This window comes from Homo sapiens, chromosome 17 (assembly GCF_000001405.40).
Source record: "Homo sapiens chromosome 17, GRCh38.p14 Primary Assembly".
NCBI classification, from domain to species: Eukaryota; Metazoa; Chordata; class Mammalia; order Primates; family Hominidae; genus Homo; species Homo sapiens.
The window spans coordinates 36074353-36092631 of NC_000017.11; the positions used below are offsets into that span (position 1 = coordinate 36074353).

At 43.1% G+C, this 18279-nt stretch overlaps 1 protein-coding gene and 1 long non-coding RNA gene across 5 annotated transcripts; one reads left to right on the forward strand and one right to left on the reverse strand.

Annotated features, from left to right (window-relative positions):
• The first annotated feature begins 260 nt into the window (after positions 1–260).
• CCL3-AS1 (CCL3 antisense RNA 1) lies at positions 261–15510 on the forward strand. Its single transcript, NR_186417.1, has 3 exons — positions 261–496; positions 2358–2450; positions 15194–15510. It is a non-coding gene; the product is annotated as a CCL3 antisense RNA 1 (long non-coding RNA).
• On the reverse strand, positions 13904–15791 carry CCL3 (C-C motif chemokine ligand 3). 4 transcript variants are annotated; one of them, NR_168495.1, is made up of 3 exons: positions 15446–15501; positions 14831–14945; positions 13904–14410 (listed from the first exon to the last, which is right to left on the reverse strand). NR_168495.1 is itself a non-coding variant. In NM_002983.3 (3 exons), exons 1-3 carry the CDS (start codon positions 15704–15706, stop codon positions 14320–14322), a joined length of 279 nt encoding a protein of 92 aa, NP_002974.1. In that variant the 5' UTR covers positions 15707–15791; the 3' UTR covers positions 13904–14319. The 4 variants fall into 4 exon arrangements, 1 of the variants encoding a protein (NP_002974.1); NR_168496.1 differs by lacking the exon at positions 15446–15501 and adding an exon at positions 15328–15346; NM_002983.3 differs by lacking the exon at positions 15446–15501 and adding an exon at positions 15634–15791.

Consider the following 18279-nt stretch of genomic DNA (forward strand, 5'->3'; position numbering starts at 1 on the left):
AGCTAAGATGTTTTTACATTTTAAGTCATTGAAAACATCCAAAAGAAGATTATTTTGAGAAATATGAAAATTGTATGAAATTGGAGTTTTAGTGTCCATAAAAAAGTTTTATTGGAATGCAGTTGGGTTTATTTGTTTCTGTATTGTTTACAGCCCACAGTCTAGCAAGGACTCCTTACCTGGAATGAATCATATTTTCATACGACAAAGCAGAGCTGAGTAGTTGTGAAAGACACTGTATGACCCACAAAACCTGAAGTAGTTTCCATTTGGTCCTTTACAGAGCAAGTTTGCCAACCTGTATCTTAATTCATCTTTGTGGCCAGAGAAGTGGATTTACTGATTTGTTTCAGCTGATCAATGTCTATAACAAGCAATGTTGATGGGCTGAAAACCACACAGACTACCAGAGGGGTTGCTTTTCCGAAGAATCATGTAAGGATAAAAGAGAAAGAAAGAGAGAAAGACCTTGGAACCCAACTAGTATCTACCAAATGTATGTAACTTTCTCATATTAATTCTGTCTTTATATGTGAAGATGACCAATCCCCTGCCTGTGATTACATCACATCAAGCATGTTCTTCCCAAATTGGGGGTTCAATTCAGACTCTCCTGTTATATGCCAGTTGTCTTAGGGATTTTCTCACTTTATTCAACACTATACTCAATTTTTACATTAATAATGCAGTAATAATATACCCCTTTGCCATTCTGTATTTTCCTGTATAATAATAATTATTATTGTTATTATTATTATTTTTTGAGACAGTTTTTGTTCTTGTCGCCCAGGCTGGAGTGCAATGGCATGATCGCAGCTCACTGCCACCTCTGCCTCCTGGGTTCAAGTGATTCTTGTGCCTCAGCCTCCTGAGTAGCTGGGATTACAGGCACGCACCACCACGCCCAGCTAATTTTTGTATTTTTAGTAGAGATGGGGTTTCACCATGTTGGCCAGGCTGGTCTCGAACTCCTGATCTCAGGTGATCTGCCCGCCTTGGCCTCCCAAAGTGCTGGGATTACAGGCGTGAGCCACTGTGCCTGGTCTTTCCTGAATTATTTTACCGGTTTTGTAAAAAGATTTTGATCGGGATATACCCTGTTGCCCCACAAATGATGGCTAGTTCCCAAATCTGAGACTAAGTTTTCATTATAGACTTTATATTCTAAACTAAGTCACTAACAACTGGGGCCAGACAATCCTTCCAGGGCATTGTAGACATAGGAAAAGGAAAGAAAGTGGCCAGCCTAGTGGGTTCCACCTTTGTGAAGGAGAGGTCTTTACTTCTAACTGCTCTTGAAGCCCAGTGAAGGGGTCTCCAGAGGGTAACTTGTACAAACTGGAAGTACCTGCAAACAAGGCAACTCATTTTCCAGTTGGATGTCAGCTTACATGGTGAACCTCATGATTTGCCTGAGCCAAAATGAGCAGGGGAGAAGAAAACAGAAGATAGGAACCAAAGCAGGGAAAAGGATTGCTGGAGGCTGCTCTCCCACCACATGGAATGAGCTTTCCATTGGCCGAGTGATCCTGTGGAAGGGAGCTGGGCTCGAGCCATCCTCCCAGTGACACTCCGCAAAGGTTGGGGGAATCACATGTCCCATTTTGTCTGGGAAATGACCCAGTTTATGCCAGTTGTGCCAGCATAGTTATTAATAGTAACCCCTTTGAGTCTTAAAGTGCTCATCCTACCAATAGGAGATCCACTGCTTAGCTTACAAGGATCTTAACAGCAGTAGCTGATGGGGTGGTCTCAGGGCCGCTGTCTACAAAGGCCCCTGGATGTGTGGGCAAGAGGGTGCTGAAAGCCAGTCTGCCCATCACCTGTAAGGTCTTGCACTCACACAGGGCTAGGTGTGCTCCATGGTGCTTTTTTGTAACATGCTCAATGGTGTCTTCCAGGCTAGCAAAGGCCCAGGGTATGCTGCCAGTGGTGTGAGCAGAAGAGAGAGGTGAAAGATGTTGGGCAAGGGTGGGATCTCTCACCTAAGAAACTATGCAGAGAGAGGACCCTCAGGAATGCCCATCTATCCGAGGGAAATATACATGCATTGCCCATAACTTCAATATTTTTTTAAAAGATGCAGGGATAACCTAGCAGTGGGGGCAGGGACTACATCTGTAGGCAGTTAAAAGAATTCTTTCCCCTCTCTCTTTTAAACATTTAAATTAAAAAAAATTCTTTTAGAGACAGGGTCTTGCTCTGTCACCCAGGCTGGAGTACAGTGGTGTGATCACAGCTCACTGCAGACTAGAACTTCTGGGCTCAAGCGATCCTCCTGCCTCAGCCTCCTGAGTAGCTAGGACTATAGCTGCACACTACAATGCCTGCTAATTAAATTTTTTTTTTTTTTGTAGAGACAGGATCTCACTGTGTTGCCCAGGCTGGTCGCCAACTCCTGGCCTCAAGTGTTCCTCTGGCCCTGGCCTCCCAAAGCACTGGGATTACAGGTACAAACCACCACAACCAGCAAAATTTTCTCTTTATATTACCCCACACAGACAACCCCTCTTTCCAACATGCCAGAGGAGTTAAAAAGAGAAGGAGAGAGGGTATCTCAGAACCAAACTAAAGCTTCATCACACTCCAACTACCAGAGCCTGTTTTGCTCTGGTGAAGGGCGAGGAGAAAGGAAGAAGTAGAAATGTTAGTTAAGTCAAATTTAAGATTAGGGTTCTAAACTGAAGGAATTTTAATAACTGGATGTGACCAAAACGTGATAGGATCTCCCCAAGATGTTAAGGTGGAGCTGATGATTGGAGAACAGTTAAGCATTTTATGTTTATAGTCTATATATAAGTAAGGATAGAATAGGTTGTACCTAGATAACAAACAAACTCCCAGTGGTCTAACAAGGTAAAAGTTTTCCACTCATACAAAATCTGATGTGGGCTAGATCACTGGATCTCACAATTTAGTTGCATCAGAATCCACTGGTGGGCTTGTCTAAACACAGATTCCTGGGTTCCACCTGAGACTCTGATTCTACAGGTCTTGGTAAGACTCAAGATTCTGCCTTTCTAATGAGGTTTCAGGTGATCCTGATGCTGCTGACCCATGAACTACACTCTGAGCAGTATTGATCCTAGAGCAGCTCTCCTCCAGGTGGTGACTCAGGAATTCAGGCTGCTTCCATCCTGTAGCTGTAGATTCTGGAATGAGAAAGAAGACAGAAAAGGCATACTGCTTTTAACTGTCTTGGTCCAGAAGTGACATGCTTCACTTAATCTTACAATTCATTGGCCAAAATTAGCCACAAGAGCCCAATGCAAATGCCATGAAGGGGAACATGTGGACTATTTAGTGAACCCTACTTTGTCTGCCACTTACTCTTAAAAAAGAGGTTAACCAAGGAAAGAGACCTAGCCAATGTGAACTTGCAGTCTATTAGAATCTTTTGCTTTTCCTTTCCCCCGATTATAATAGGCTGTCAGTTTAGTATTCATCTAATATATGAAGGATTTATGCAATATTCATGTTGTTGAGATGTGAAATAAATCCTAGATCTATTTGAAATATTTTAAAGTTCATGGGCCAATGGTGCCAGTCATCAGATGTTGAGAGGCCTTAGGGGAAGAAAGAATGAGACTCTATGGCTTCATCAAGGCAGAGATGGCTACTATCATGATTCCGGATAATGCCCCCACACTTGCCCTAGCTGGTTTGCTATGACGGGCTAGAGGAGGAATATCTCAAAATTGGAAGGGAATATAAAATGTTGCATGAGAGAAGCTATTTATGCAGGTGTGTTTGTGTGTGTGTGTGTGTGTGTGTGTGTGTAGAGAGAGAGAGAGAGTCAAAATGTACTCTTTGGGTCTAGACAGGACATGTTTGTTGCCTTGATCTCTTCATAGAATGGGTAACATAACAGCAGCGAGCATTCCTGAAGTTCTCTGAACTAGACTGAAATCTGCAAAGCTTGTCCCCTCAATGAGGGACCCAGAGCAAGTGGTTCAAGAGGACTAAGAGAGAACCAGTTTTTAGTGCAAGGCCCCAGCTTCTCAAATCTTGGTTTTTGAGTTAAAAATCACATACTCATACTTATGAAAATCAAAGCACAAAGAATGGAAAATGAAAAGTGGAGATCCTCATTTCTTAAAAGTTATGGTTGCCAGGGAAATCACATTTAATAGATTGGGATATATCACACACATCAAATGTCCTTCTTATGTTTATGTAAATATATATAGCTTTTACCAAAGCAAAATATTATTATATGTACAGTTATATAATAAATATGTGGTAATATAGATATTGGTATAGAGATACACATATGGAATGTATATTCTATATACATAGTTTTACATTAATATCTTAGATACCTTTCATTTCACTATGTATATCCACTTCATTCTTTTCAGTAATTTTGTGTTTATTATGTGGTTATACCACAATGGTTTAAACTATTCATCTTTTAAAGAATTTATTTCTATTGGTTGTTTTACAAACAGAGCTGCAAACAACAGCAATGTGCCAACACTTTGTGTCTTTTTTTTTGAGACAGAGTCTCACTCTGCCACCCAGGCTGGAGTGCGGTGGTGCCATCTCGGCTTACTGAAACCTCTGCCTCCTGGGTTCAAGCAGTTCTTCTGCCTCAGCCTCCCAAGTAGCTGAGATTACAGGCGCCTTCCACCATGCCCGGCTAATTTTTGTATTTTAGTAGAGATGAGGTTTCACCGTGTTGGCCAGTCTGGTCTCCAACTCCTGACCTCAAGCTATCCACCTGCCTTGGCCTCCCAAAGAGCAGGGATTATAGGAGTGAACCACTGCACCTGGCCCTCCTTTGTTTCTTTAGATAGTGTTTCTTGAAATAGATTCCTAGAAATAAGATTGAAGAGTATGTAAATTTTAAATTTTTCTACAGACTGTGTAATTTCTCTTCAAAAATGCCGATTATCAAAATGTCACTTTTTGATACTAAAAAATAGATTGTTTTAAACACACAAAGTAAGTAGGGCTTATCAAAAAGTTAATATATCTTGCATTTCTCACAAGTATGTTGAATTTCTCCCACTTGCATTTTACAGCAGGAATCCTGACTCAGTCTAACTTTCTTATACTTAAAAACATAACAGGCCAGAAGTTAGCACACATTTTCTATAGAAGGCCAGATAGTAAATACTGGTGTCTTTGTGGGTTATATCATTTCTGTTAGAACAATGTGACTCCACCTTTGTCTTGGGAAAGCTGCAATAAATAATATGTAAAAGGGCAGGAGTGGCTGTGTTTCAACCAAACTTTATTTACAAAACAGGGTCATGCTAGATTTGTTCTGAGGACCATAGTTTCTTAACCTCAATCTAGGCAATCCGTCAAATAATTCTGCATTCACAATAGAAGTCTTGTTGTATATATTGGCTGACTGTCTTTCCTTTCTCTAATGTTAACCACTGATTTTGTGGAGCATGGATTCTAGGGAAATAATACCCAGGTAAGATGTCTATTACCATGTGTGTCTTATTTTTAAAAGAGTGGTTAAATTCTTATTGAGGCCGGGCACAGTGGCTTATGCCTGTAATCCCAGCACTTTGGGAGCCTGAGGCAGGCGGATCTCTCCGGTCAGGAGTTCAAGACCTGCCTGGCCAACATGGTGAAGACCCGTCTCTATTAAAAATACAAAAATTAGCCGGGTGTAGTGCCATGCACCTGTAATCCCAGCTACTTGGGAGGCTGAGGCAGGAGGGTCACTGGAACCTGGGAGGTGGAGGTTGCAGTGAGCCGACATCACACCACTGCACTCCAGCCTGGGTGACCAAGTAAGACTCCATCTCAAAAACACAAACAAACAAACAAACAAAAAAACAAAAACCAGTTTTATTGAGAAATTCAGTAGTTTTTGGTCTTTGGTCTGTATGTATATCACATAGGGGTTTGGTAAAAGTCTAGATTCCCACATCCAAACCCAATTCTCTTGTGAGCATTTTAAACGACCATCCCAGGTGGTTCTGGAATGCTCATAGGTTTGCATATTAGTTACACTATTTATTTGCTGCATGGCCTTGGACAAGTTGTTTTAACCCTCTGAGCCAACATTTCCTCTTCTATCAAATGGGAATATTAATAATACTTAGCCCTTGGAGACATTGTTAGAATTTGAAGGACAATGAATAATTTTTAAGAGAGCTTGACCCATGAGAAAAATAAACTTAAATGCATGAATATATATATCAAGCATGAATTTACCTAGTGCATATGCATTATACACTGGGTGCATAATATTTTATAAAATAATCCTTGTTTTATAAAGTAGTGTTTCATTATTTGGGGAGAGGCATTACCGTCATTTCCTTTCTGTTGACTTCCCCTCTTCAGAGTTTTCTACTCTTCCCCTCCCATCCCACCACCTTGCTTTGTCACAAAACAAAGCCAATAGGATCACCAACAGTTTAAGACTGGTTTACTCAAAACAAATTCATTATTTTACATAGCTGAACATAGAAATGGTAAATAATGTTCTATAAATATTTGTTGGTTGACAGCTTTGGAACAATGTCCTCTAGAAAAAGCTGAACGTAGCCACCCACCTTGTATGAGAGCCACAAAGAATAGCCATGTGCCTGAATATGTGTCAGCCGCTGTGTGACTGGAGGGGCTGAGGAAGGGGCGTAGAGGGTGTTGTGAAGTCCCTTCTGACAAGCAGTCAAGAACGCATAGAAATACATTACAAAAATTAAATAGTCTAGATAAGTTGAAATGCATGTTAAGAAGAGTCCCAGAGTGTGGTTGCTTGGGTAGGGGTAGGTTCAGGAATTGAAGGGACGTCCCTAGGGCCTGGGTCCCTGCTTCCTAATCTGCCACAAACGTAACAGTGTCTTGTTGCTTCCAGGTCACTCAGGGATTTGACTCTGAGATCAATGATGCACTTGGCACCAGAACTTGGTGGGGTTGGCACAGACATGCCAGCCTCAGCCACTTTCATTCTGGAAGCTGTTAAAAGAGACAGTTATAAAAATTGAGGAATCAGCAAGGGAATTCCTGGTCCCATGCTGCCTTCCCATCTCTGTCTTGGCAAGCATAGGGCCTATCCACTTGTTCAAGATTCTTTGCCCAACCTCAGCTCCCTAGACTTTACCTCAGTGGCTCAGGCGGTCTCCTCAGGCAGCCTCCTCCTGCTAACACTTCCTCCTCTCTTCCCTCTGCCAGGGGCAGCTCTTCCCTGGTTCCCTGCAGACCCCAGGTCAGGCCAGAAAACACCTCTATGGCCCTTCCCTGTGTCCCACCACCAGATAGGACCTCAAAGGCCTGGGGTCCCCAGGATGGCCCTCAAACCGACTGGTGCCCTTGCAGGCTGCCACCCTCCAAGTCCTGCTTCTCTCCAGAGATGGGCAGAAGCACCAGCCCTCGCCTGGCACCAGCAGTGAGTCTCATAATTGCCATTTACCATTTTGCTAGGGGGGCTTCTGGGGGTCCTAGGAAAAGCAGCAGATGCCTGGGTGCTTGGGGACCTGGGCATTCTGAGGGAAGGAGCAGCGTGACCCTGAGTCATTTTTCACTGGGGACAAGTGAGCCAACTCCTTCTACCCAGTGATAAAATCAGAAGGAAGTAGATGGAGACAGCACTGTTCAGGGGATGATTTGGGGATGAGAAGAACTGGCAGGAAGTTGGAGATTTGGGGGTGAGAAGAACCAGCAGGAAGTTGGGGATTTCTTGTTTCCCCACTTTTCCCTTCCATTTCTGTTTGAGCCTTAGGTTTGGCCTCCATCTCCCTCTGTAGAAATTGCAGCTAGTTAGATAGTCTGCCTCTTATTCCAGCTCTACTGGGGGAACATAATATGGTCTAAGAAGAAATTTTTCCAGCAAGAGGCCATCTCTGCAAATCACCTGTGAGGCAGACCTGTGGCAATTTTATGACTCAGCTGGCCACCAGGAAGCGATTGTAGCTGGGTTCTGCCCCTTATTGAAACCTACTCAATGTTCTCCTTCACTAAGTAGGACAAGACCGTACCCTGCCTTTAAGGTTTATAGAATAGAAAGTGAAAACACTTTGGGGAAGAAAATCTTCCTGAACAGATAGCCCAGGGCATTTTGAAAATCCCTTAGGAAGTTCTCTGTTTCACTTGGGTACCTCTGTCCCTGGACTTTGGCGATGTGGTTTGACCCCAGCCAGAGAGTGCAGGGAACAACAGCAAAAGGCAGGACAAAGACTGACTCGTGAGAGGAGGCCCAGGAACAGGGGGGCATCGTGAGAGAGGAGGACGTGAGGGCCCAAGAGTGTGAGCAGAAGAGGATAGGACTTGGGCACTCAGTCACCAGCTGTGGGGTCTGAGCTGTGTCCCCTTCTCTAAAGAGGTAAGCCCTGAGTCATGGGAAGATGGAAACCGGGGCTCATGAGACAGGATGTTTTTTAAGCACCGTGGTGTCTTGTTGACTTGCACATGCAAGGGGGTCTTGGGTAACCACAGGGCTCAGGGTATTTGCAGGAACAGTTCAAGTGCTCACTTGTCTTGGGGCTGTTTGTGGGGAAGTGGTTTCCACAGCAACAGGAGGTGAGATATTGGTGTTACCCCAGACCACACTTAGCTACTTCCTTCTCACTAAAGCTCTGTAGTCATATTTTCCCTGGCAGAGCAGAAACTTCTCTGTTATCCCACAGCTGTTCTAACGGTGTAGACTTGACTTATGCAATGATGCCAGGAGTCCTGAGCAGCACAGCCCAACTTCAATCACACACAGATGGACAGAGCTGTATTAGCAAAGCCTGAGCTACTGAGCGATGAGAGTACAGCCAGGCTTTCAGACATCTGTTCATTCAAGAGAGATATGCGCTAAGCCAAGGACCTAAAGATGTGTTTAATATGGGTGCTAATATGCATAAGGAACCTTGAAATAAATGTTCTTAGCCTTTGGCCAAGAGGGTCCATGTCTAGGAATCTATTCTCCATAGAAATAAATTCAAATATGGAAAAAATGAACAATGCATAAGTGTATTTGGTCCCCAGCATATTTATAGCAACTTAAAATTGGACCCAATTTAAATTGCCTATGATATGGAAATGGCTAAGAAAATTATGGGATCTTCCCTTGATTGGCTATTAGGCAGCCTTTACAAACAATGCAGTGACATGAGAAATGCTTATGTTATGGTAAGCTTAAAAAACTCAAGATGCAAATCAGCTTATTTTAATCAGGAGCCACCTAGCATTTGGGATGTGGTCAATCCCACATAATGTATTTTTGTGGGTGCAGTTCCCAGGAAAGAGGAGGAATAAAAACGGCAAGTATGAAGTGTCTCCTTCGCTTGCAGTCTCCTTGTCTACCCCTTTGTCCATCCACTATGAAAGGACTCCCTTCTGTTCCTTAATATGGACAATTTCTATTGAGGACTCATTGTTCTAAGAATTGTCTCATCTCCTCCTGCATCCTCAGTGCCCGATCTTTGGCTTCTATGAAGGAAGGTGGGTAGTGCTTATGGCAGGGCCAGTTCTACCTTTCTCAGTATGTTCTGGAGTGGGTATGTAGCCCCATTTTCTAGTGGTTACCTTGACATCATGAAGAGTTTATGTCTCTTTTGCCCTAGATTTGGGCAATAGTCATTCATTGGGCAACTGGAAATAACACAAGTCAGCATCTCATTAAAAATAAAGTCATTCAGGAAAGTGGACGACTAATAGTTTCTAATCTAGAGAGCATAGGAGAAGAAATGTTTACCACACACAAAGTATTAGTGCCTTTTATATCATCAAGACAAAAATAACAGGAAAAAGACAAACACATTATAGTGAAAACTTGTTTTTCCTGACCAGCATCTATTCTGCATGTTCCCTGATGCCAGAAACTCACATTTCTTCAGGGCAAACCCCCTTCCCCACCATTCTCAGGCTTTAAGTTTATGTAAAATTCAGTAAACCCAAAGATTCAAGTTATGTGCCTTGATTAACTTAAGCAAATCAATGAAACCCATCCCCATAACCACAGCGACTGGTTAGGAATTCGGTTCCTAAGTCAGTCAAATCCAAAAGGGCCTAGTGATGTTTTTTCCAATGGGAACACAGACTCACTCTTCCCTGCAGAAAATGAACAAGGATTCATGTACACTGGCAGGTACTGGCAGCCACCCAGGGCCTCTCACAGGAAAGGGAGATCAGAAAGAGAAGCAAAGAGGACTCATGAGATACCACAGGGCCGCTGCGTCCAGCCTTGCCTGGAGCTAGGGCCACCTCGATGCCCTATAGTCTTGGAGCCACAAGGTGCATTTACTCAAAGCCTCTTTGAGTTTGGTTTGCTTGTTTGCTTTCTGCCTGGAAACTGCCAGCATCCTGAGAGATACGAGATCTGCATCTGTGCAGAGACACAGGGTTTGTTAAAAGTCACAGGCCCTGACTGAAGTGTGGAACTGGCTGAAATGAGAAAGTAGGAGGTAATTTGGTGAGGACCTTGTGAAATGGAAGTGAGTTTTAAACCTTACATGCATCAGAATTACCTGGAGCCTTGTGAAAACACAGGTTGCTGGGCCCTAGTCTATTAAGAAAGGAAGTGGGGCTCAGAATATGCCTTTCTCCCAAGTTCCCAGGTGATATTCACCATGCTGTCCTGTCTGGGCACTACCTTTTGCCATACCCATTACAAGGTATTGCACGTGCTGGTTGAACTATGGTCTGTCTTATTTTGGTGCTAAAAGCCTGTGCCAAATACCAAGGCTGCAGCATTAAGGAATTTGTTAGAAAAGATTCTGAATATTGGAATTTAGTTGCTGTGTATTATATCAGTAAGGTCCTTTAAGAAAGAGTTTAGGCTACTTTGAAATGGGCTCATCTGAAATTGAAAAAGAAGAAATGCGACTTGCTAAAAAGGCCCTTCCAGCCTGTTGACTGAGAATCCAGTAATCTGAAGACTGAAAGGGCTGTAAATGCAGGATTTTCTACTCTAAGATAAAGTTAGCATGAGCAGAGACAGGAAGATGAGAGACATAATGAGGCCAAGCGTCAAATATTCATCACCTCCACATGGGCCAAGATGCAGGCAGAGGTCTCTCACCAGGGGCTGGGAGGTCGGGGTGACAATGGTAGTGCAGTCTGTGCTAGAAAGTGCACATCCCCAGCTGGGCGCAGTGGCTCACGCCTGTAAGCTCAGCACTTTGGGAGGCCAATGCTGGCGGATCATGAGGTCAGGAGTTAGAGGCCAGCCTGGCCAACATGGTGAAACCCTATCTCTACTAAAAATATAAAAACTTAGCTGGGTGTGGTGGCGGGCACCTGTAATTCAGCTACTTGGGAGGCTGAGGCAGGAGAATCGCTTGAACCCGGAAGGCGGAGGTTACAGTGAGCCGCGATCACGCCACTGCACTCTAGCCTGGGTGATAGTGGGAGACTCCATCTCAAAAAAAAAAAAAAAAAAAGAAAAAAGAAAATGCACATCCCCAACCCCAGTTAAAATGCAAATGCAAACTATGTAACTGACAACCTGTCTGCTTCTGGCTACCTGGCCCATGGAATTGATCAGAAGCAAATAGTAGCCTACAGACATTAGAAGGGAGTCACATTGCCAAAGAAACCATAAGACTGGTTCCAAAAAGTTGCTGATTGCACAATACCTAAGGCAACCTCAGGCTAACTCACACAGACAGGAAGTCAGCAGCCTCCAGAAAGCAGATCCTCCACATTGCACATCTCAGATTGTCCATAGAGGACATTCTCCCAGGGAGGAGAGCTAGGGACTGCCAGATCAGCTGAACTGCTTAAAAATGCAGTACCCATTCTCCAGTTCCCTATCAGGGGTCTTTGTTCAACTTACTGTTTGTTCATAACACTTGTATTTAGGGAATGTTGGGCATGATTAAACTTCGTTTAGCTTTGGGTTTCTAGACCTTGAGAAACAATTCAGTGCAGGCAAATATTGTATGCCCCTATATTTTTTCCTGAAAGCCAATAAAGAAGGAATGATGACACCTTCACTGCGTCTATGGGGACAAAAGCTGCTTGTGTGTGTGTGTGTGTGTGTGTGTGTGTGTGTGTGCGTGTGTGTGTGTGAGAGAGAGAGAGAGAGAGAGAAACAGCCTTGTCAAAAAGACGTGTTTGTTGCTGTACCCTCATTATATGAAAGCCATCATGGCATCAAAACAGTATAAGCCAGGTTGAGCTCTATCCTCTCTGCATCAACTCAGAATCCCTACCAGAAAGTGGTTGTGATGGATGGAATATCACCCATCAAAGAATAGGGTAAGATGAGACCAGAGAGGTAAGCTATGCAAGCTAATCAGAAAATAACTCAAAGTTTTAAAAGTGCAGAATATAAAAAGGAAAAACCCTCATTCCTAAAAAAAAAAAAAAGCCTCATTTCCTCAAAGAAATCAGTTAGCTATTTGATGTGTATCTTTCCAAATATTTGCCTATGTAAATATATATGTATATATGGCATTTAAAAATAAAACAAAATAATATACTTTACAGATAGTTCCATAGCATATGTAGAGAATATATATGCATATACTGAATGTAATTAGGTCTGCCTTTTACATATAATATTATGGACACTTTCCACAGTTATAGATGTGTGCTACTTTTTTTTTACTGACTTCAGAATATTCCACTGATGGACATCTTAATCCTCTACTGATTAATCCCCTACTGATGACTGTTTGCATTTCTTTGCTGTTTGCCAACCACACTGCAAAGAATATCCTCATGTCTACATATCTTATCTTTTGGCAGTGTTTCTATGAAGCAGATTCCTAGAAATGGGATCAGGTCAAATGGGATGTAGTTCACATAGTATATGCATTTTAATATTTGCTAAGTAGTAGTGTTTATGCTTTAAAGAGTTGGAACACTACAATTCTAAACATGTTTGGACACAAAAAATAGATTATTTGAAACAAAATGAAATAAGCATAGCTCGTAAAAATTAACACGTTTGGTTTTCACACAAATATTTTGAATTTCTCTTTCTTCTGCAAAAAGGACCCTAGCTTAGTATGGATTTCTTGTACAGATAATGCAAACAATCCATCTATTAAATAACTTACCTTTCACAGTAAACCTATAGACAGCATCCTGCTCCACACAGAAGCTGATTGTCTTTTCCTTCTCTAACATTAGCTATTTATTTTGTAGAGTGTAGATTCTAGAGAAATAATGTATAATACACCTGTTGCCATATGCAGAGACTTACCACATTTAGAAAACAGTGGTGAATTCTATTGACAGTGGCTCTCAGTCATTAACATGCTATGGAACACCTCATGAGCTTGATAAAAATATCAGTTCCCAGGTCTACACTTAAAGATCCTATTTAAGTGGCTTCAACAATCACTGCTCAAACACTCTATGTCAACTCAGAATCCTGACAGGAAGTGGTTGCAATGGATAAAGTATCATCTGTTAAAGAATGGGGTAAGATTTGAGTATAGGCGGGTCATACTTTGGGAAATAACTTGGTCAATGGTTAACAGCATAGTCTGTAGTTCAATAAAAGTCCAGTTTTGGAACACAATTGACCGTTTACGTGCTGTGTAACCTCAGCCAAGTTGTCTAACCTTTCTGAGCCCTGGGTTACTTTTCTGTCAAGTGGAGGTATTAATAGTACCTAAGCTGTACTATTGCATTGGTAAGATTAAATGAGCAATGTATAAAAAGCGCTCAGTAGGAGGAGTAAGCCTCAACAATGTAAATAATTGCTATTAAGAGCTTGATTCATCATGAATATGCCCTACAGAATACTATGCTTAATGGTGGCCATTCGAGTAGTGAATTCTCCTAGAGCATGCATGTTATGATTTGAGTTATAACATATTCGTAGTTTCAATGTTCCAGAACTGTGTCTCCGTTGTAAAGTGGATAACTCTGTGGTAGCCCTCCCCATCTCTCCCAATTTCCCTCCATTTCACCTCTTCCTAATCTTTGCCTATGATTCCTCTTAACCAGTGATTTTGATTTGCCAGAAAAACAAAACCAAACTCAATACTGGTTTACCTTTTAAAAGAGCATCTTTATTATTTCCCCAGGCCGATCACAGCCCTGAACAAAAGCATCCGATACACATTTGTCAGTCTGGTGGCTTTGGTGCCATGACTGCCTACACAGGCTGATGACAGCCACTCGGTTGTCACCAGACGCGGTGTGAGGGAAGGGGGAGGGGACAGGGGAACTCTCAGAGCAAACAATCACAAACACACTGTGAAATCGAAAATAAATTACAAAAACTAAATAGTATAAATAAATTAAAATTTAAGTTAAGAAGAGTCCCACAGTGTGGCTGTTTGGCAACAACCAGTCCATAGAAGAGGTAGCTGTGGAGGTCACACGCATGTTCCCAAGGCTCAGGCTCCTGCTCCTCCCCACTGGGCCCACCGAGGTCGCTGGGCCTCGAAGCTTCTGGACCCCTCAGGCACTCAGCTCCAGGTCGCTGACATATTTCTGGACCCACTCCTCACTGGGGTCAGCACAGACCTGCCGGCTTCGCTTGGTTAGGAAGCTGTGGAGAAGGGAGGAAGAGTTAAGCACTGGGGAATCCAGCAGGGGAATCCTGGGCCCACCATGGCCCCACCATTCTGCTCTCTGTCCTGGGCAGCTCAGGGCTTGCTCCTCTTTCAGGGGCCCCCTGCCTATCTCTGTCTAGAGAGCTTCTCTCAGTGACTCAGTAGGGGTGGCCCTCAGAGTGTCCCGCTGCCTCCTTCTTCCTGTCCCTTTCCTCTGGGCTGGGGCAGCCCTTCCTGACTCTGTAACACATGCCTCACTCCAGCTCCAAGTCAGGTCACACCTCGGAGCCCTGCGTCCTGTATCCCCGATAGGCTCCTGAAGGCTGGGCCTTTCCAGGATAGCCTTCTGGCCTGTCTCTGCCCCAACCCTGACCCTCCCTACCTCCATAGAGGTGAGCAGGAAGACTGGCACTTACATGACACCGGGCTTGGAGCACTGGCTGCTCGTCTCAAAGTAGTCAGCTATGAAATTCTGTGGAATCTGCCGGGAGGTGTAGCTGAAGCAGCAGGCGGTCGGCGTGTCAGCAGCAACTGTGGAGAAAGGAAGAGAATGAGCCCGAGTCACAGCTCAGAAGAAAAGGCCAGGCAGCTTCTGATCCCCGAGCAGTTGAGGAAGGCAGGCTTGCTCAGACCAAGTGACTGGAAGGCATTTGGGCATTTTTGCTGAGAAATGTCTCTTTGTTTCTGTCTGTATCCTTCTTTCTCCTTGACTCTTCATAGTGGGTTCTCTGTTTCTCTGTGTGATCCAGATACCTGAACGGACTGTTCTCTTATCTCAGTTCTCTTCAGGGAATTTTGTCTGGTTCAAGAAGTCATACCCCAACCCAAGAGAAGCCTTGGACATCTCTCATAAGACATCCAAGGGACAGAGCTCCTGGGAGACCTAGAGTGAGCTGGAGAGTGAACAACATACCCCACTGGGAAGTAAGCAGCCCTGGATTCTGCCTCTTGCTAACTGATTCGTTTCGAACCCTGTTTTTCTATCTGTAAAAGGGACTGTAACTCCCCTGCCCCTGCCTAGATTCTCATACCTGGAGACTAGGGGGCTAAGACCCCTTCTAGAGATAAAAATAAAAGTCTTAAAGAGAAAGACCAAGATGTTTGGCAGCCCTTTAAGAAGTTCTCTTTTCTCTTGGGGGCTTTTAGGCCACAAGAAAAGATTGATGTGGTCTAACCATGGCCAGAGAGTGGTGATACCCACAACGAAACTCAGACTCACGTGATGCAGAGAACTGGTTGCAGAGAGCCATGGTGCAGAGGAGGACAGCAAGGGCAGCAGTGGAGACCTGCATGATTCTGAGCAGGTGACGGAATGTGGGCTCGAGTGTCAGCAGAGCCAAGAAAGGACTGACCACTGTCTGCTGCCCGTGTCCTTCTGAAGTCTGAAACCAGCTCTCCTCTTTATAGGCAGCCCTGGCGGATGGGGAAATGGAATCTGGGGGTGAGGAGGGAAATTTTTAAGCGTAGTGATGCTGTCATGCTAAGTTGCACAACTCAGGGTCCCTGGTGACCACAGGGGCTCAGGATATCCAAGAATAGCATCTTTGAGCTATTCTCTAACTCTCAGCTCTCAACTCATGACTTGTTATAGTTTCATAGGGAAATGGTTTCTCCTGTGAGTGTGAAGAGGGGTATATGTCAACCCAAGGCTATTCTTAGTCAGTCCCTTCTCATAAGAACTGGTCTGTGCATGAACTCTCCAGCCCCATTCCTTCCCACAGAGCTGCAATTCTGCTTCCTCAGCTGCTATAACCACAGGGATAGGGTTGATGGGCTGATGCTGTGGAGGGCTGCACAACCCTTCCTCCTCCCAGAGGCAAAGAACTGAATGAAAGCTGGAGGAATAGAAAGCATGAGGTCATGTTTCAGTCATTTGTCTATTTATTAGTCATGTAGTGACTAGGGCGCTGTGTTAAACGCTAGTTGTGGATCATAAAAATACTTTAGAGGTGGGTGTCAATATGTCAGGTGCCTAGAAATATCTGTAGCCATTAACCTAGAAAAAGCATTTCTAGGAAAGAGTTCTGTGGAAACAACCCAAATATGGAGCCATCTTCAAACATAAAGATACCTGACCCAGCATCGTTTATAACTCTAAAATAAACAAAGCTAAATTTTTCTCCATCAGGGAATGATAAATTATCCACTAGATCATTTATTATTAAGTCTCTAAAATGAATGAAGTGGCATAAATATGCTTATAACATCAGTGGTTAAAAAAAGCAAGATACGACATTATACAAATTCTACAAAGTCTGAAGAATTGTACAAATATATATATATATTTGTACTATATATACATGTATTTGTACATATACACATATATATTTGTACAAATATATATATATTCCTTGCCAACCCTAAGCATGGAAAAAAATACAAAGGCTTGGAAATACATGCCTTAAAGAATGAATAGTTCTTATATTTGTGTGATAGGTCCCTGGGTGATTTATTTTCTTATTTTTTTCTTTTTCTGAATTTTTCTCATTTTACTTAGTTAGACTTTATTACCTTCTTGGTCAGCCCACAAATTTATAAACTAATTTTTAAAAAAACATTTCCAACATCACTGGTTGAAAAATAGGTTGTTGTCAGTTGTTTAATCTGAAAGAAATTATTGATAAATATGCTGAAGTTTCTGTTCAATGGTTTTGGCCAAAATGAAGTCTTGATTTCCCATTTCTTTGAACCATTTTAAGGATCCTATACTATACTTACATAAATCATGCCAAATTGAAGCAGTTTTTTACTTATTCTTTTCAATACATAATTTCAGTGGTGTGGAAGGGTCTCTACCTTCTCAGCCAGATTATATGCTTTTTTTTCTTTTCCATACTTTGTTATTTTATTCTTTCACAATCAATCAGCATACCTCATTTTATAATGAGAAATAGATTTAGTTGGTTTTAATGATCTTTGTTTCTGAGATGCCCCTGATCTCGTGGGGGCAGGTAGAGTGTATGAACAGGTAATTGTAGCATTTAGCCGAAAGTGCTAGGACTCCTAGTAGAAAAAGAAATGAAAGCTCAGAATCCCACGAGGGGAAGAAGTGACCTTCCACCAGAGGGTTGGGGAAGGCTTCATGGAAGGGATGGAACTTTAGTTGTGTCTGGATAACTGCCCGGGATTTAGGCATCTATAGATGAGTGCCCAGCTGAGGCAGAGTCCTGAGTGTGACATTGTGGGTTCAGAGGAAAGAGGGGGTGCTTCAGTGGAGCTGCAGAGCAGTGGGGGTGAATATGGATGATAAAGCTAAATTGGGACCAAACCAGGACAGGCCTTGTATTCCCCCCAAAGGGGTTAGAGTTGATACATTTGATGCTGGAGAATAACAGAGGACAGAAGCCAAGTGCGACCATGCCTTTGGAATTCTGTCCTTTCTAAGTGTCTGTAGACTTAGGTCTTTTAATACACATGGGCTCTGTTTCCTTCCCACCCCAATGATGGCTAGTGCCAGTCTTGAGGGAGGAGAAGCAGAAGCAAGATCAGGGGCCGTGGTAGGTTTCACCGGAGCTTTGGCATCCATGTATCTTCCCCTATTGCTACCAATTCCAAATAAAGGTATCTCTGCCACTTGTATCATTAGAAACCTACATCACAGGCAATGCCTCCTTCTCACCCCACCCTCTGCCTCCCAGCTCTCAGTGATACCCAGAATTGCATTCCCTCACTCACTTCTTAGGGGAACCCCCTCCATACTCGTGATTCCATTTCTGAGAGCTGGCTTCTGTGAGTTGTGGAGAGTGAGAAAAGGAAATGGAAACTGCTGAATCAGTCAGTGTTCTGATAAGGGACATCTTCTATCTCTGTCATTACAGCACCGTGTGTTATAATTAGTTATCTATGTAATTTGCTCTTCAAAAAT

Bases quoted from the DNA above. Each gene is read 5' to 3' on its own strand.
- CCL3 (NM_002983.3), bottom strand. From the start codon at position 15,706: ATGCAGGTCTCCACTGCTGCCCTTGCTGTCCTCCTCTGCACCATGGCT. The intron at 14,946-15,633 runs GTGAGTCTGAGT...CTTTCTCCACAG, and splicing joins CAACCAGTTCTCTGCATCAC to TTGCTGCTGACACGCCGACC. The intron at 14,411-14,830 runs GTAAGTGCCAGT...CCTTCTCCACAG, and splicing joins TGCTCCAAGCCCGGTGTCAT to CTTCCTAACCAAGCGAAGCC.